Raw genomic sequence first — 19869 nt, 5'->3', positions numbered from 1 at the left:
TTTTTTTTTTTTTTCCTGAGAGAATCTCACTCTGTCGCCCAGGCTGGAGGCAGCGGCGCGATCTCGGCTCACCGCAACCTCCGCCTCTTCGGTTCAAGCAATTCTCTGTCTCAGCCTTCCAAGAAGCTGGATTACGGGCTCCCGCCACCACGACCGCTAATTTTTGTATTTTCAGTAGAGACAAGGTTTCACCATCTTGAACAGGCTGGTCTTGAATTGCTGACTTTCGTGATCCATCCTCCTCAGCCTCCCAAAGTGCTGGGATTACAGGCGTGAGGCACGGTGCCCGACCTATTATTTACCTTTTCGTGGACATGTCCTATTAGATTGTAATTTTTTAAAGCATAGTACTCATACTTTAATTTCTCCACATAGTGGCTCTAGCACAGTGCTTTTAATGTAATGGATACAGAAGAGATCTTGTAGTTCATTCAGGTTCATATTGTTCACTCTTCTCTGAATCACTTCTAAACTTATTTTAAGTATATATAAAGTGTCAAATTATGTGTAAAATACTTGTTTTCTAATTATTTTCTGTGGCTCAGATTCATCTCTACTTCAAAACTCTCAATCTCTTTAGGTTAGACTGCCATTTTCCTTTCATACTTTTCACCGGTATACTTCTGTTCTCATAGACAGCATCCATTATTAATATTTGACAATAAAGAATTTTTTATGATAAATATTTAAAACCTTAGAAATGACATCCCAGAATAAAACTATGGCCCTCTGACTTCTAATATTTTTCTCACAGTAACACAAAGGGAAATACTGGAAGGTATGGTTGTCATTTAACTACAGCTAAATGATGCTTTAGAGAGGCCAGCAGGGTAACCCAGGCAGTCAAGCTGACCAGTGGGAATCATAGTCACACGGAGGATGAATAAACCCAATCTCATAACTCTGCTCCACCCAACTGCTGCCAAGAGAAGATATGGGATCAATGTTGCCAGCTTATCATCTGATTTTTAAAGATAAGCTGAAAATCTAGATTTTTTATATAAAAGGTCCTGAATGTTAGGTATTTGCAACTAACTCAAGATAAAACAACAATGGTGTGGACCAAACAAAGCACTTCTAAAGTCAAGCTCAGCCTATATGCTATTAATCTATAACCTCTGTTTTAGTGTTTATGAAGTGATTTTTTTCTTTACAATATACTATCAATTTTAATCTTCACAAAAAAAATTTTGGGTTGAACATTTTGCCCACCTTTTACTAATGGAGAACTCCTCTAAAGTAATGAAGTCAATAAATGATGAAGTCAGGAACTCAAGCCACATAATTTATCTCCTCATATTATATAGCCTGTTTGTCTTACATCCACAGATCTTAACTTGTATGTATGTGTATGGGGAGCAGTATTAGGAGATGAGAGACAATCATAAATCCATCCCTATGAAAACCTGATGAAAATTATAGACCAATCATTGATCCTCTCCACAGAAAAATACATATATGAACATACATATCAAATACTGTACAATCCCAAGGGGTTCACAGGTCCCTGAAGACTACATAGATGCCTATAGTATATGAGATTATCTGCAAGAGACAAATGTATGCAAAATATCTTTAGCTTTACTTAATGATAAACATGAATTCATAATCAATAAATCTGCCAAAACTATTCTGAATCTATTTACATTTCTAATTATTCTACTGTTAGGATTAATAAACTCTACTCTTTATTACCCATTATATCAAGCAGTGTTGTCTTTTGTCCTCACACACTTTTTTAAAAGTATATAACTTCCGAGTTTCAAGTGGTTGAGTTCCAGAATTAAAGAATTTGCTGATTAATCTCATATTCATACTTTCTGTATGCTTCTAAATGTCAAACATATTCTCTTCCAAGTTGCTATGATTCCAGACTAAATAGTTCATTTCTCAGTTCTCCTTGGTTTGGAAACCCTACCACCAACTTTACCATTTATTTATTCTCTCTGGATTTCTTTCATCTATGCAATTTTTTCAGGTTTACAATGGAATTACTTATTATATTGCATGAAGAGTAGAAAACCATTTTCTACTTTGTATTTAATACCTTTTCTGCCAATGTTTATCGCTTTTCTGATTATTTTAACTGTAACATCACATAATGCCAATATTTTCATAAGAATCCACAATTATTATCATCAGTTTATTTTCCGGGATTTGAATGAATTCAACCAACTCCAAAACCCACACTGCTCATTAGCTCATCATTTAAGGACACAAAAAAGTGGTGTCATTTACAAACTTAGGATTTCACAATTCATTGCCTTATCTGGATATAAATAGTAAAACTAGTACTACTCCCAATTCAAAATTGATTCTAGTAGGTCCTGTTATTGAAACTCTTCTACCCGGTAAAGCACCTGTTGCTAAGCATTCAGCTTATCGTTGATAGAACATCCCATGCCCTTCCTACCACATGCCAGACTATCTTTTTGATAGTTTTTATTGCTAAACTCTGATAAATGCTGTTTCAAAGTCTGACTAAATTACATTCATTAGCACCCCTCGTACACATATGAATATAACTCTTCAACATTAATGGTGACTACTATTTATTCTCTACCCTGTGGCAAATATTGTTCCAGGTTGTTTATGCTATCTTATTTAATCCTTACACAAACCATGAAATGTAAATATTACTATTATCTTTTAGCCATAAGAAAACTGAGGTTGAGAGCTTAGAGAATGTTCCCAAAGTCACATTATATATATAGGTGGTGGAGACCAGGATTCACATCCGGGTTTGCCTGAAGTCTTATATCAGACAGGCAGAATTGCTCCTGTAAATAAAGGCAGAATATTACTTTCTCTCCAATGACATTGGCTTGAGGGTTGGTTATAAATTAGGTCCCCCTTATCTGCATGAACATCAGCTTCATACTATTCTACAATTTTCAAACCTCACTCTGAGTTCTTAAGAGTGAGGATTACATTGGAAATGAACCTGTCCTCAAGAATAATAAACAGTTTTATTTAAATAAATCTAAAATGATTCTGTGCCATTACCACACCTGCTTCAACAACAACAATAAAAGAAAATAAGGACTGAAAACTTTTCTAATAGTTCTGTCTTCCACAGGACTAAGTGTGTATTCAAACATGTATGTTTGTTTATTTATTATTGTCATTATTGTTGTTTTGCTTATTTTTGTTTATTTTCATTCTGGTAGCTGGATCATCTGATCCTCTGACTTTCAAGATACTGGCATTTTCAGAACCTTTATAAATGAAAGGCTGTGAAGGACCTGCAAGATTATTTTCAAAGGCAATTTTTTATTCATTTAAATTGGGATTTGTGCCCTACATAAGAGAATATATACCCAAATCATATAGAAATATATTCTTAAGCAAATTTTTATAATCTTAAGCCCTTGTAACTTGAAAAATTAATATTAAGACTATTGCATACCTGAGAAGGAAGAGAAAAGGAGAGAGTAGATACTATTTGAGAAAAAGGCATGGAAAAACCAGATAAAGACGCATATCACACTTCCGGAAAATGGGACTGAAGAGAGAGAAACTGCAGAGCCAGCACAGCACCATCTCATCGTGGGGAGCTCTGGATGAGAAAGTATATGATAAAGAAGAATAAACAAGGGACACTGTTGAAGAGTTTCTGTTCACAAATATCTCACCCATTTATTCTACCAATTGGATGTTAATTTTGCTTTAAAAAAACCCTTTTAGTAAATATATTCTTGCAGGGTTAAAACCAGTGGTTCTTCATACCTTTACTTTGAGTAACTATAACTAAATTGTCTACAACTTAAATAAACTTTTGGGAGAATGTATGCTTTAATTAGTTGTTTTGATTGAACCATGGAACATTTCAGAGTAAAAACCATAAAGGTCTCTAAACAACCCGAGAACAGAATGACTGAGAAAGGCGGAATGATGAGATATTAAGGAAGGGCAAGGCTGGGGAAAGGAAGTGAAAAAATACTTACAGTTTTACCACAGAAAAATGAGAAGTTATAATTCAGTGATCTTGAAGTTTCCTTCCCGCTCTACAATTCTATGACAGTTGTTATGCAAAAAACGAATGTCTTACACATAAAAACTTATATGCTATATTTTCCTTCCTGGAATCTATATCATCCAACTGCTAAAGCAAAAGAGCTCCTTTTTCTACTCCAACAACATAAAAGAGAATAATTTATTAAAACTAGTTCCAGAGGACATAAAGAAAACCAAAGGGTAGAAATCATAGGGAGGTAAGCATCTTCCAAATAAAGAAATTAATAACACACCCTCGAATACTTTGATAATCAGTATTTGATAACTGAGTGAAATCTGGGGTCCAAAGAGATATACAGATCATTGGGATGGTTGAGAATTTCTCCCTTTGCAAAGAACACACCAAATAAGAACCCTCATCTGCCAGAGGTGAGAAAAAGTGATGAAAAGAGAGAATATTGCCCCACCAGCCTCAAGGCATTCAAGTTCCCCGGCATTCGGTCCTTAGTCCCTTCCCATTTGTCACCTTATTATTTTCCTGTCCACCCCTGCATCATCCACCTGTCACGTCTGTCTCCACAGTCACCTCTACAGACTTTTTTCACACTTTCCCTTCCTGTCTGCTGGTCTCAACGCTCTCTGTCCAGGGTTTACCCACATTTGCTCTACTCCGATTCCTTCCACCGACCCCCTAAGACTCCGAGCAGGTTAGAGGATCGCGCTGCCTCCCCCCTCCCCGCCCCGTAGTCTCCAACAGTGTAAGGGGTACTGTGGGAACAAAACCCAGAGGGGTTTGTGCCTCTTCACCCCCATCCCGGGAGGCTCCCCCTCTATCCCCGGATGGTCCTCACTCACAGCGCACAGTGTGGAAGGCGCAGCGCGGCTGCTTCTCGAAACTCTCCCCTAACTTGAGAACCCGCTCGCGACGGTCTAGGTGTGAGAATCCCGCTGCGCTATTCATAATTACTCTCCTGCTTTGACTTTAACTCCGCCACCAGCGCTCACTATCTGCCACCTCAGCCTGAAGCAGCTGCACTTGATCCCGCCAGCCAAGTCACCCAGACTCCACCCCGCGCTCGACGCGCACCGCCCCACCGGAGCGTCTCACGTTCTGATTGGCTTATTAGCAAAGGGCGCTCCGCCCCTTGACTCCGAGGCTCCTAGTCCCGCCTCCAGGCCCCTTCCCGCGTCGCGACGCACGCTGCCCCGGAAGGCCGCGGCGCTGTAGTGCGGCGTGGGAGCCCCAGGTTCTTTAGTGGAAGAACGCGAAGCGAGGATGAGGTAACTTATCTGAGGTGGTGGCTGGGGAGGGAGAGGGCCCCAGGGCGCCTACCAGGAGGCCAGGACCCCAGGCTCCTGGACGAAGTCAGCCGGCTTGTAAGAGCTCTTAACGGGAGAATCGGCCTGCCCTCACGCCCACTCTGTAGAGATCTGGTGTGGAAACTGAGGCCTGGGGAGGTGCAGTGTCCAGGCACAGGGCCTAGTGTCTTATCCAAGGCCTGGTAGCGCGAAAGCCGGGTCTAGAATCTGGAGTAAAGGAGCCCAGAGGCCCCAGAATCTCGGTCCTTAGACTTGAAGCGACGCTGTTACCTCAGTAATCGTTTTCTGACCTTTTTGTACCAGAGGAAGTTTCTTGTGGTCCTAGGACTGGAGAAGGGGATGTGTAGTGGGGAGGAGAAAGAGGATTCGGAGATAGCAACTGCAGACATTTAGGATCAGCCGCAACAGGATCGCACTGAATTTCCTTTTCATTTATTTTCCTCACAGTGATCCGTGGAGGCAGTAACAGGCGCGGCGAGGGAGAAGTGATTCCCGAAGAATCAAGGCTGGGCCGGACCCGGTGGCCTGGCAACAGGGTAGTAGCCTTAAAATAGATAAATAATTGTCTTTTTGTGTCAAATTTCATGAATTTAATGTAAAGATGGGAGAAGTGTTGAATTATAGGAGAAACACTCGAGAAAGTTTACAGATGGTTTCCATAACAGGTGGTTTTTCAGGGTAATTACGCAATCCAACTGCACTCCCTCACCTTCTGCCTTAGGCACATTTGTCAATTGATTTTGGGGTAGGTGGTTATGTCTCCTTCAACCTGTCTGTGTAAATCCTACCCTTTGAAGGTGTGCCGAAGCTGTTTCATATCGTAGTTAAATGCTTTAAGGCAGATGGTGGCTCTAGTTTGAACCCCTGCTTTATACTTAACAGTGTGACTTTGTGCCAGCTAATTACATTCTCCAGAGTTTAAGTATGCTCATTGTTCAAATTGGGAAAAAAATAATAGTATCTGTTCCTTAGAGTTGTTGGAATGATTAAATGAGTTAATACATGAAAGCAATTAGAACAATTCCTGGAGCATGATAAGAGGTCTCCAAATGGTTATTTAAGGCCCAGCTCTACACTTATACTACATTTTAAGACCATCTTGGTGGCTGCCTTCTCTTCTAAATAGAATCATTCTAGGAGGTAGGAATTGCTATTTTGTTTACAGCAAGAAAAATGGTTCAGAGAAGCCCAGTCCTCTGACTTTATGGCCTGTATTCTTATCTGTGTCATCTATTTAGCATTTAACATATATCTGATATTCTTAAGTATATTTTTTTGTATCTGTGTGTGTGTACACATGTACATAAACATACTTTTCTTTCCCAACCAGAACAATAGCAGAGAGTATGTCTTGTGTAGAATCTTTGCATCCCCTGCATCTACCATACTGCTCTGCACATATTTGTTGATGACAATAATGATTTAGTGATGTTTTATTACGGTAGCCAGGAGGGCACAAACTGTTTTGAGCCTATTTTACGTTAGAGAGGCTTCCAACTATAAATCTGAGCTTTCTCTATTGTAACAAGAGAAAAACAGAAAGTCAAGAAATTGAGGCTCAGAATGCCTGAGGTTTGTGCATTTACTCATACTTTCAACCTGTATTTAGCAAATCCTAGTACGTGCCAGGTACTAGTCTAGCCACTGGGAATACAGTTGTGAACCAAAGATATAAGAAGGCAGCCAGCAAAGATGGTCTTAAAATGTAGTATGATGGTAGAACTGGGCTTTAATAATAACCATTTGGAGAGCTCTTACTATGTGCCAGGAATTGTTCCAATTGCTTTCATGTATTAACTCATTTAATCATCTCTAAGGGATAGGTAGGTTGCCCTCATGAAGCTTACCTTCTGAGGTGAATTTTCTCCAAACATATATTAAAATGAACTATGTTGTACTAGCTCAAGAATAGACAAACAGATTAAATTACTAGAAACTAAGTAGAGTCCAAAAAGATACCCTGTGTATGTGTATGTATACATAGTGCATGAAAATGTGACGTTTCAGATTGTTTCTGTTATGTCTATTCATAACTAGTTACCTTATGAATTTATGACTACTGTGTGCATTTTTTAATCCATCAATAACTTTAACATTAAAAATTAGATTCTTATATGACACCATTCACAAAAATACCTTACTTTAGAAGATATGTAAGGAAAACAAAACCAAAAAAACATGAAGATTTGGAGAATGTTTTTTATCTCTTGGGTTAGAGAGGACCTTTCTAAACAGGACACAAAAGACAGATGCCATAGAGGAAAAGATTGTTATATTTCATATGTAAAAATTGTAAAAATGGCTGGGCGCTGTGGCTCATGCCTGTAATCCCAGCACTTTGGGAGGCCGAAGTGGGCAGACCACTTGAGGTCATGAGTTCAAGACCAGCCTGGCCAACATGGTGAAACCCCATCTCTACTAAAAATACAAAAATTAGCTGGGCACGTTGGCACACGCCTGTAATCCCAGCTACTTGGGAGGCTGAGGCATGAAATCACTTGAACCCAGGAGGTGGAGGATGCAGTGAGCTGAGATTGCACCACTGCACTGCAGCCAGGGTAAACAGAGTCAGACTCTCTCTCAAAAAAAAAAAAAAAAATTGTAAAATTATGGTAAAGACCCCATAGTCAAATTTAAAAAAATAAATGACAAGGAGAAAATTTTACAGCCAATATAAAAGAGAAAAGATTCCTATCCATGTATGAAAAGCTTCTGCAAAAGAATAAGACAAACCGATAGAAATATAGTCAAGGGATATGAATAGAAAATACATAAAAGAAATAATGGCCAGTGAACACGAAATGTGCCTGACATCCCTAATAATCAAAGAAATACAAATTAAAACACAATCATACCAATTTTCATCTAACAGATTGGCAAAAATGTAAAGGATCATGTGTATATTCATTGCAGTGTTGCTTGTAATAGCATACAGCTTGAGTGACCTCCAGTAGAGGTGATGTTTAAATATATTTTGCTGCATTCTTAAAAGGAAATGTAGCATAATGCAGCCATTTGGAGAGAATGAGATAACTATATGCACTCTCTTTGAAAGTTTTGTGACTACTATGTGCCGGGAGTTGCACTGGGCTTTCTTTAAGGTATTTTCAGCAAACCTGTCTTTTAATGATTTATATTGTACCTAATAAGAGATATATGAATGGAAAAACAGTTTTTGCTCTCACATCATGACAATCAACACAAAAGACTTCTGTGACCAAATGTGTGGAGTTTTCTTCCACCAACAAGCAAGCAATCAATTCTGCAGCGGACACCAGCTGGGTATCATCTAATTCAATTCTGACACTGTCTACTTGGAGATAGGGTCAGATCCCTTAGGTTTAGGGCTTAGTCCTGCAAGAGGGACCCCCATTTCTGATGCCAATCCAAGCCCTAAGTTGTTTTACCTGTGCTTCTGACTGACCAGCTACACATGAGGAATCCTATTAATACACACCTTGGGGTGTATTAATTTGCTAGAGGAGCTAACAAAACTGAGGGAAACATGTTTTCCAGTTTATTATAAAGATATTACAGAGACCCTGGGCAACATGGAGAAACCCTGTCTCTACTAAAAATACAAAAAATTAGCCGAGCGTCATGGCTTGCAAGTGTAGTCCCAGCTACTTGGGAGGCTGAGGTGGGAGAATCACCTGAACCTGAGAAGTCTAGGCTGCAGTGAGCCATAATTGTACCATTGTCCTCCAGCCTGGGCAACAGGAGTGAGATCCTGTCTCCAAAAAAAAATACTAGGATACAAATGAAGAGATGCATACTGTGAAGTATGGGAAGGGGCACAGAGCTTCCATGTCCTCCCTGCCTGTGATATCCAGGAAATTCCTCCAGGAACTTCCACATGTTCAGCTATCCAGTAGCTCTTTGTACCCCATCCTCTTGAGCCTTTTATGGAGATTTCAATGGATAGGCATGACTGAAGCATGGACAATCATTTTGGAAATGTGATTGGACAAAAAAGATATGATCTGATACTAACAGACTGAGTGGGGAAACCCAGCAAGGCCTGTCTGCTCAGATTCTTCTTGGCTTCTCTGTTCAGCATTCCTTCCAGGATATAGGGCAAGACCCATTCTGAAACAGGGGTCTTATGACCTACAGCTAGACAAGATAGGTCAGAGAAAGGCAGGGATGATTAGAGTTCTGCTTTGGAGAGAAGGAGCAGGTGAAAGGAGGAGAGGAGGAAGTCAGAAATAGATTCTGTTTTCTGAGGCCTAAAGCACCCTAACATAACAAGACTGTAACAAAGGCTATGGGAGTTATGAGCCAGAAACTGTGGACAAAAACATATATATGTATATGTATATATGTATGTATGGAAATGATCACACGCTCTATCTACTTCATAGCCCTGTTGTGAGGATTACACAAGACAGTGTATAGTATATTAACATAGTGCTTAGCTTATATTAAACAGTTGATACATGTTAGCTTTACTATAAATAAGGAAATACGCTTTTATTATATAAGGATATCTTTGAGCTTCAAATGCTTTAAAACTTTTTTTTTTTAGAGACAGGGTCTTGCTTTGTTGACCAGGCTAGTCTTGAACACCAATTCTCAAGCGATTCTTCAGCCTTAAACTTTTTTTACATAGAGAAAGTTTTAGCAACAAATTAGGATGTGGACCTTGTTTTTTAATGTTAGGAGAATTGATTTTATTCAATATACTATTTACTTATTTATTAATTATTATTATTATTATTTTGAGACAGAGTCTAGCTCTGTCACTCAGGCTGGAGTGCAGTGATGTGATCTCAGGTCACTCAACCTCCACCTCCTAGGTTCAAGCTATTCTGCCTCAGCCTCCTGAGTAACTGGGATTACAGGCACGCGCCACCATGCCCAGCTGATTTTTTGTATTCTTAGTAGAAATGGGGTTTCACCATGTTGGCCAGGCTGGTCTTGAACTCCTGACCGCAAGTGATTCACCCACCTTGGCCTCCCAAAGTGCTGGGATTATAGGTGTGAGCCACTGCCCCTGGCCTTATTCACTATACTATTTAGAAGCAATCTTTGATTATCTTATATTTATGTAACATTTCTGAGCATTAGTGTGTTGAAGGTCAGTGCTTCACTAGGAGGGCTCACAGGACTCAGAATATAGTGTACTTACAGCTATGATTTATTACAGTGAAGGGAAATAAAGCAAAATCAGCAAAGGGAAAAAGCATATTGGGGGAAATCAGGTACAAACTTCTGAGTTCTCTCCCAGTGGAGTTACGTAGGATATGCTTAATTCCTCCAGCAACCAGCTATGACAACATGTTTGAAGTGTTGTCTACCAAGGAAGCTCAACTAGACACTCAGTGATCAGAATTTTTATTGGAGGATGGCCACATAGGCACCCTCTGTATAGGTACTCTCGACTGGCATGTACCAGAATTCTAAGACTCCTGGAAGGAAGGCGGGTATTCAGCATGAACCACATTGTTTTTCATAAACAGTTTTAGGCACAGGGAGCCACTCTTACCAGAGAATGGCAGAAACCCTCCTGAAATCTAAGTTCTAGATGCCAGTCAAAGGCCAACCTTGTAAGCACACCTTTGAAAGTATAGTAGTCTTAGGCCTGTCATGTTAGCTCTTTTTTGCAGTTCTTCTTGTGTGATTAAAGGAAGTTAATTCCTATCCTAGAATTATTGTGCAGATTAGAGAGAGAATGTGAAGCTCCTATCACAGTTCCTGACTCTTAGTGAGTGCACAATAAACAATACCTGCTATAGCTGTTACATGTGAGGTATAGGAATCTTGAGCTCTTTTACACTGGTTAGAAAAACCAGTTTTCTATAAGGAAGAAATGAAAAAATCTACATTCTGCCTCTCAAACAAGGCAAGAAAAGCTGTTTTTATTTATATTGAAATTATATTTCAAACATTATTTAGGTAGTGAACATTTCCTGGCTTTTTGACCTTTATTCTCTGATTCTGTTAAAATATAGGTAATAAGAGAAATGAAGCCAACAGGTACAGACCCAAGGATCTTATCTATAGCTGCTGAAGTTGCAAAAAGCCCTGAGCAGAATGTCCCTGTTATACTGTTGAAGTTAAAAGGTAAGAAAATCTTTTTGTGATTAGATAGCATTTTAAGTGAAAAATGGTTCCATCGTTGGTACAATTTTAACATTTCTTTTAAATTTGTTCAGAGAGGTCTTAACACTATAATAGAACAGTAATTTTTCCTTCTAATATATTTTTAGTGATTATTCAACATATAAAAATACAAATAGCTCCTGGATGTATTAAGCAAAAATAAATATATCTTATTTCCTTTTGCCTTAGAAATAATAAACATCACACCTTTAGGAAGCTCAGAGTTGAAGAAAATCAAACAAGATATATATTGTTATGATCTCATTCAATATTGCCTCTTGGTCCTCAGTCAAGATTATTCTCGAATCCAGGGTGGTTGGACTACAATTTCCCAGCTTACACAGATATTAAGGTAAAATAAAGCAGTAAGTCAGCTGTTCTTGAGGGATGTAGTAGTTGATTCTGATTTTCAACATTTGCTTTTTATTTATCTGCCTAACAAGCATTGGCAACCTCCTGTTGTAGGTTTTGGTTGTACTTTTCCTTCATATTATATGTTATTATTCATAATTTTACTTCAGATTATTTGACTGTCTAAAATTTTCCTCCACAAGCTTAATGAAGATGGTGATCATTTTTTTTCTCACCACTGAATTCCAAGTGCCTAATATACTTTTTATTGATTAAGGAATTTTTAAAGAAGTGAAGAAATTAAGGCACTGGCTCTGTACCTGAGAAACTTAAAATAGAGATTGGGTGACAGTCATGTAAGTATATGATACAAAGCAGAATGAAATCAGTGCTAAAATGAAAGTATGCAAGCAAGTACTATAGGAGAACTGATAAAGAAACATTTTATTTCACTATATCAATGTAGCTATCAACTGTGTATTTCATTAAGCAACCCAAATACTGTCAATAAAATTTAGAAGTAGAATTTACTGATCTACTGCCATGCTAGAAATTAATAGAAGAGAAATAAACATTTTTTAAAGGAGGTAGTAAAATAAACCAGATGTTCTTAGTGCCTAAGCTACTTCCTGATTAATAAGTGAAAGTGTGTATTTACTAACTGGATCCTAGCCTTCTTTTTTTGTTTTTCCTAAATAAGCCATTTGAATTTAATAAGCTATTCCCACTGAAAGGGTTTGTCTTGGATGCTAGATTTCTAAGCTGCTTAATCCTACTGTGTTACTTGGTAAAGGCCAAATTTAAAGCACACAGTTACAAAGAACAGTTGAAAAATATATGTGATATTCTTTTTCATACTTTAATTTTCAAGATTGATTTTCTTAAGTAAATAAAGCCTTATGTTTTTGTTTTGATTCGATATGCTAGTTTATGATGATATTGATTAAGCCAGGCTCTCGGGTGGAATTCAAGACTTAAGAAATTCCCATGTTTCTGAATGCACAAATAAACATAATTTCATTTGTTAATCTTCTCAATCAAAAAAGATACTCTTAAGTAATTAACTTTAGGAACCAAAGAGAAAAGAAAAGCTGATACATGTGAGCATTAGCCCATTAACTTTAGGAACCCAGGTGCAAATAAACAACAACAACAACAAAAAGTGATACATGTAAATATTATCCACTTAGGTTTTTTTTTAACTTTTATTTTAGGTTCAGGGGTACATGTGGAGGTTTGTTTTATAGGTAAATTGCATACTCAATGTTTGTTCTCACTTATAAGTGAGAATATGCAGTGTTTGGCTTTCTGTTCTTGTGTTAGTTCACTTAGGTTAATGGCCTTCAGCTCCATCCATGTTGCTGCAAAGGACATGATCTTGTTCTTTTTTATGGCTGCATAGTATTCCATGGTGTATATGTACCACCCCAAAGAAATATACCATTTTCTTTATCCAGTCTGCCATTGATTACTTAGATTTTTAACATGCTCAATACATAGTTGTTATTGCTTATTAGTGTCCATACATTTTGTTGAAAAGACTCAAACAGCAGTTTTTGTTCATTAGAGTACACACATAGAGACCATTCTTGGGTTTGAGGCTCTTTTGAATGTTAGTTTACAGAAAAACCTTTTATTATTGGGACTTCTGACTTATGTACAGGAAATGACTTTTATGTACAATTTTAAGAGGACCTTTTTCTCTAAGTGACTTTCTCTCCTCTAATGTATATTGTAAAGTGTTCCTACTAGAGTTAGGTTTTGCCGTTTGTCCTTCTGATATAAGGAATATGCAAATGAGTATTTTGCAAAAAGTAGATCTATTGGAAGGTAAAATTGGTATGAAATTAGTGTTTGGTTTCCTTATGTATCCCTTGCAAACAAATCCTACTTGGGCATTTTTCAGCTATTAGGTGTCTAAAATGTATTAGTTAACACAAATGCTTTTCATAAATTAAACTCTCAAGGTATCCTATAGCTTTGAGAATGATTATAGCCAATTCACTGAAAACTTAGCTTCTCTTTATTGTGAGCCAAGTGTCTTTTATTTGCTGAATGAGCTGATATGTAGGTTTTTAGGATACATAAATCCCAGACCTAAGTACAAGCATGGTCCATACCACTGTTTACTTTTCTAGAAAGTTGTTAGACTAATTTTTCAACAAAAATTCTTTATTGTCTTGGTAACAAAAGAAGCATACTAAAAATTCTCAATAAGGCACAGTGTCTCTAGAAGCTTGAGCATTCAACATAAACTTCTAATTAACACGAACTTGTGCTCTTATTTCAGCCATTGCTGTGTGGGCTTGGAGCCAGGAGAAGATGCAGAGGAATTTTACAATGAATTACTTCCATCAGCTGCAGAAAATTTTCTAGTTTTGGGGAGACAATTACAAACATGTTTTATCAATGCAGCTAAGGTATGTGTTTATTTAGTCTTTTGTAGCTAAATCAGTTTAATTCTTAAGAAGCTGTTCTGTTATTTTTTAAATGTGCAATATTTGGCTGAAAGTACAATTAAAGTAGTGAATTTAAACATTTTCAAAGTTACAACCTTCCAAAAATCATCTCTATGTTTGAAAAATTTTTAATGCTGACTGAAGCTTGCCATTTGATTTTTTGAAGGATCTGCCTTGCTACTTTACTTGTTGGGCAGCACCCATAGACAATTATTTCCATAACATCTTTCTAAACATACTTTTTACTTAAATTAACAGTAGAGGAAAGTATGTTCTCTAGGGCTAGGGCTTTTCTAAGTAGCTCCAGTAGTGAAGAATAAAGGTGAACTTCCTATTTGATCTCTCATATCTTCTCCAGTCAAAATATTCAACCCAAACATAGGGGTCTTTTCAAGTATTTCTTGGTTGCATTATGCTAGATGCTATACATGTGCTCTTTTTTTGACCCAGGGATTTAGAAGTGTGTTGCTTAATTTCCAAATATTTGAAGATCTACTAGATACTTTATTGTTATCAATTTCTAATTTAATTATGTTTTGGTCAGATAACATTCTCTATATCATTTCAATCCTTTGGAATTTTTTCAGACTTGTTTTATGGCCCTCCGCATATGTTTTATCTTTGTGAATGTTCATTAAAAGAAACTTTTGTGGGCTGGGCGCAGTGGCTCACACCTGTAATCCCAGCAGTTTGGGAGGCCGAGGCGGGCGGATCACCTGAGGTTGGGAGTTTGAGACCAGCCTGACCAACATGGAGAAACCCTGTCTCTACTAAAAATGCAAAATTAGCCGGGCATGGTGGCACATGCCTATAATCCCAGCTACTTGGGAGGCTGAGGCAGGAGGATCACTTGAACCCAGGAGGCAGAGGTTGCAGTGAGCCAAGATAGTGCCATTGCTCTCCAGCCTGGGCAACAAGAGCAAAACTCCATCTGAAAAAAAAAAAAAAAAGAAAAGAAAAAGAAACCTTTGTTTTGCACAGTTCCATCTTAACTGAAACTCGTGCATGTCAGAACCATGCAAAGGTTTTGATATGCACAGGTTTTATTTAATATGGTGCCATGCAAAAGCTAGGACTACTTGTATACCCAAATGTGAACTCTGCAGTTGTATGTAATGTTCTATAAGTGTTAATTAGGTCAATTTGGTTAGTAGAGTTGTTGAAGTCTTCTAAATTCTCTTTTTTTTTTCTTGTCTACAGTTCTACTTTTTAGTGAGCAAGGGTATTAAAATTTCCAACTATGGTTGCGGATTTGTCTAATTCTGTCTTTAGTTCTATATGTTTTTGCTTCATGTATTACAAAGCTCTGTGATTAGATACATACACATTTAGGAATATTATATCTTCTGGATGAATGAAAGCTATTATCATTATGAACTGGTCTTTTTTTTTTTTTTCAACCTTACTCATGGACTCAGGTCACATGAAATGATATTTATCTCTGATAATAGACCTTATCTTGAAGTCTACTTTGTTTACTATTACGAATATTGCCACTCCAGTTTTCTTATGATTAGTGTTTACATGATACACTTTCTGCAGTTTCACCTTTCATGGTTTCAGTTACCCATGGCCAATAGTGGTTCAAAAATATTAAATGGAGAATTCCAGAAATAAACAATTAAATTTTAAACGGCATGCTGTTCTCATAGCATGATGAAGTCTCATAGTGTCCTTCCCAGGATGTGAAGCACCCCTTGACCAGCATATCAGCACTGTACAGGCTGCCTGCCAGTTGGTCACTTAGTAGCTGGTCTCAGTTTTCAGATTAAAAAAAAAAGTATATATAGGGTTCAGTACTATCCACACCTTCAGGCATCCACTGGGGGTCTTGGAATATGTCTTCCATGGATAAGGGGGAGACTATTGTACATCATTTCTCAACCTTTACTTTTTAACCTCTGTCTTATACTTAAAATGAGTCTGTTTTAAATAGCGTATTGTCAGGTCTTGCTTTTTCATCTAGTCTGACAAGCTGTTGTTTTAAAGGGTATCATTTACTTGCATTTAATCTAATTTGTGCTATGGTTAGGTTTAATTCTACCATTTTGCTATTTTTAAGAAATTTGTTCCCAGTTTCTATCTTTTGTGCTATTTTGTCATGTATTTTACTTTTACATATATTATGAAATCTACCATGTGTTATTTTTACTTTAAATAGTGTATTGACTTTTCAATAATTTAAAGAAATGAAAGAAAAATGATTTTTTTATATCTACTATGTCTGGTTGTCTTTATTCCTTCAAACAGATCTGAATTTTCATTTGGTATCATTTCCTTTAAGCCTGACAACCTCCTTTAGCATATCTTACAGTGCAATTCTGCTGGTAATGAATTCTCTCAGCTTTTTGGTTATCTGAAAATGTCTTCATGATGCCTTCACTTTTGAGGAATATTTCTGTTGCATGTGTATAATTCTACTTCATCAATTTTTTTTCCTCTTTTTGCACTTTAAAGATTTTTTTCCATTGTCTTCTGGCATCTTTTGTTTCTGATGTAAATTCAGCCTTCATTCTTCTTGTCATTCTCCTATACATATTGCACCTTTTTATCTTTGGCTTTTTTAAGATGTTCTCTTTGTTTGGTTTATTTTGTTTTATTTTCAGCAATTTTACTTTGATGAACCTTGTTGTAGATTTCCTGATGTCTATCTTGCTTGGAGGTCCTGAGTTTCATGTGTCTGAGTTAATGTATTCATATTAAGAAAATTTTCAGCTAATATTTTTTCAAATACTTTTGTTTGCCCTATTCTCTCTACCTTCACTCTGGGACTTCTGGTTGTTGAGGCTGCCTTCATCCTTTTCTTGTTGTTGTTTACTTCAGTTTCGATAATTTCTATTGTTCTGTCTTCAAGTACACTGACCCTATCTTCTACAGTGTCTAATGTGCTAATAATCCTACCTAGTGAATTTTTCATTTCATATATTGTATTGTTCTATGATTTTTATTTGCTTCTCTTATTGATTGTTTACCATATTTATTATAGTTATTTTTAAGTTGTTGTTTATAAATCCAATACCTGGATCATTTGAGAGTCTTTTTATTATCTGTTTTTTCTCTGGGTCAAATTATCTGGGTCAAATTTTTCTGCTTCTTCACATCTCTGTTAATTTTTTGTTTTATAATGGTAACTGTGAATGACACATTGTAGAAATTCGTATCTTCCTCTGAAGACTTGAGAGCAGTTAAATTCTGGCAGATCAATTGTTCCTGTGGAGGCTTGGTTTTAGCCTTTCTTTGGAGAGGTTTACTTCAGTTTTGCCATTAGAGTATTGCCCTTAGTCCTGGTTCACAGTCCTTATACCTAAGGTGAGATCCTTCTGTGGTTTAAATGGAAAGCCCACCATGTTAACCCAGACCATCTGACTTGGAAGAACCTAAACTCCAAACTCTGTATACCCAGCACTAGGCAAAAGATGAAATTGCTGGTAATTTCTTTCAGCCTTTCAGCTGTAGATTCTTCTGGGCTCCGTGGAGCCTTTTCTCTCATATGTACAGTTTAAGAGTCAAGAATTCAATGGAAGTTTGTATATAGATTTTGAAGCTCTGTACTTTGTGGATCACTTCTTTAACTGTTCTGGCAGCCCCAAGCTCCAAATTCTGACTCCTCAGCCAAGTTATACTGCAACTTCTTATTTGAACTCTTTCCCTATGTTGATAAACACACACTGGGAAAAGCCAGGCATATTAGTCAGGTCTCTCCAGAAAAACAGAACCAATAGAAGATATATGGAGAGAGAGAAAGAAAGAGAAAGTGCTTGATTATAAGGAATTGGCAATTATGGAAGCTAACAAGTCCTGAGATTTGCAGTTGGTAAGCTAGAGACCCAGGAGAGCTGATGGTATAGTCTGAGTTTAAAGGCCTTAGAATCAGGAGAACTGATAGCATAGTGCTAGTCCAAATGCCAGCAGACTCGAGATCCATGAAGAAGCAGTGTTTCAGTTTGAGTCTGAAGTCAGGAAATACTGATGTCCCAACTCAAAGGCAGTCAGGCAAGAGGAATTTCCCTTTATGTGGGAGAGGGTCAATCTTTTGTTCTACTCAAGCCCTCAACTGATTGTATGAGGCCCACCCACATTAAGGAAAGCAATCTGCTTTACTCAGACTAAAAATTTAAATGTTAAACTCATCTAAAAATACCCTTACAGAAACACCCAGAATATCTTTGACAATCACACAAGATAAATTTAGATTTCAGTCAGTACATTTTATTTCAGGATCATGTCTGTGTGCCTTTGCTTGCTATCTAAAACCTTCAAACAGTTGCTTTTTATATTTTTTCCCGAGTTTATACATTTGGTCAGCAAAAGCTTAGGTCAACAAACTATGGCCTGTGGGCTAAATCCAGCTTATTTTTAAAAATTAAGTTGTATTGGAACACAGCTGCACCTATTTGTTTATATTATCCATGACTACTTTCACTATAGCCACAGAGTTCAGTAGTTTCTAGAGACTATAATGCCTAAAATATTTTCTGGCCCACAACTAACAGGAAAGTAAGTTCTATAAAGGGGAAGAGTAGGGAACAACCAATGTGAACAAGAGTGATTCCAAAAAGCTTTGTGGAGCCAATGGTACCTGGTCTATCTATCTCTAAAGCATGGATGAGATTTGGAAATATGAGGGCATTACAGGCAGCGGAAATGGACAAGACCAGGAAAGAGGAATAAGTATGACATCTTTGAGTCCCAGTGCAGATTCCTACCAGAGTTAGATAGAGTATTCTCATTCAGAAAGATTGAAGGCCAGATGCAGTGGCTCACGCCTGTATAATCCCAGCACTTTGGGAGGCTGAGATGGCAGGATCACTTGACCCCAGGAGTTCAAGACCAACCTGGGCAACATAGCAAGACCTAGCCAAGTGTGGTTGCACATGCCTGTCTTCCTAGCTACTCAGGAGGCTAAGGCAGGAGGATTGCTTGAGCCCAGGAGCTCACGGCTGCAGTGAGCTATGATCACGTCACCGCACACCAGCTTTGGCAACAGAGCAAGATCCTATCTCTTTAAAAAAAAAGAAAAAAAGAAAAAAAAGGAAAAAACAGAAAAAGTTTGAACTTGATTCTACGATAGTGAAGAGGCTTTTTTTTTTGAGGAGACATAAGAGTATGCTGGAGAGAGCGGAAGAAGAGACCATTTTAAATTATTGTAGTAAGCTAGAAGAACTAAGGTAATAAGTGTCTTGACTCACTATGACTTTGGAAAAATAGAGGGTCAAATGAAATATTAAGAAAAAAATTGTAAGAATATAAAAGGTGTACTATCAGACACTGCTTTTATACAGATAATATATAATATATTAATGATGAGTCTAAGTTGAGTCTAAGGTTTCAAGGCCCTACAGATGTTTAAGAGAAGTGATAAGCCAGAGGTAAAAACTGGGAAAAAGGATGCAATCCCTTTGAAGTTAGTTGCATTTTCAAGTGGAAATGTCTAGGATGGAATTGAAGTTGGATTGAGAGATCAGGACTATGGCTATAGGTTGGAAAGTCCTCTTATGAATGCTAATTAAAACTTTGAAGAGGAGCATACTAGAGGATGAGCTTTCCTAGGGATGTGGTGTAGAGATAATATCTGAAGGCTGTGTTCAGAGCCTTAGAGATGTCTGACATAGATGCAATGTATTTGGGCAAATTGAGGAATTATGGCTCAATATGCTAGATGGATGAAGAAAACTGA

General features: G+C 37.5%; 2 protein-coding genes across 17 annotated transcripts in view; one reads left to right on the top strand and one right to left on the bottom strand.

The window, feature by feature from the left end:
- EAF2 (ELL associated factor 2) overlaps positions 1–4995 on the bottom strand; it is a 51318-nt gene extending 46323 nt beyond the window's left edge. For 3 of the 7 annotated variants that reach the window (NM_018456.6, NM_001320041.2, XM_017006863.2), the window contains exon 1: positions 4813–4995. In NM_018456.6, coding sequence (NP_060926.2) covers positions 4813–4918 — 106 coding nt within the window. In that variant the 5' untranslated portion in view covers positions 4919–4995. Of the gene's footprint in view, positions 1–3409; positions 3560–3947; positions 4016–4812 lie in introns of all 7 variants that reach the window. The other 4 variants (XM_017006861.2, XM_047448577.1, XM_047448576.1 and 1 more) reach the window with 3 other exon arrangements.
- Positions 5144–19869, top strand: part of IQCB1 (IQ motif containing B1) — a 65300-nt gene continuing 50574 nt past the window's right edge. For 6 of the 10 annotated variants that reach the window (XM_017007539.3, NM_001023571.4, XM_005247911.5 and 3 more), the window contains exons 1-5: positions 5144–5238; positions 5725–5813; positions 11232–11343; positions 11572–11734; positions 14024–14153. In XM_017007539.3, the coding sequence (XP_016863028.1) occupies positions 11244–11343; positions 11572–11734; positions 14024–14153 (393 nt within the window). In that variant the 5' untranslated portion in view covers positions 5144–5238; positions 5725–5813; positions 11232–11243. Of the gene's footprint in view, positions 5239–5724; positions 5814–11231; positions 11344–11571; positions 11735–14023; positions 14154–19869 lie in introns of those variants that run through there. The other 4 variants (NR_134968.2, NM_001319107.2, XM_047449251.1 and 1 more) reach the window with 2 other exon arrangements.

This window comes from Homo sapiens, chromosome 3, assembly GCF_000001405.40.
Source record: "Homo sapiens chromosome 3, GRCh38.p14 Primary Assembly".
NCBI lineage: Eukaryota > Metazoa > Chordata > Mammalia > Primates > Hominidae > Homo > Homo sapiens.
The sequence above is the reverse complement of the archived record's forward strand: the minus strand, read 5'-3'. Positions and strand labels throughout refer to the sequence as shown.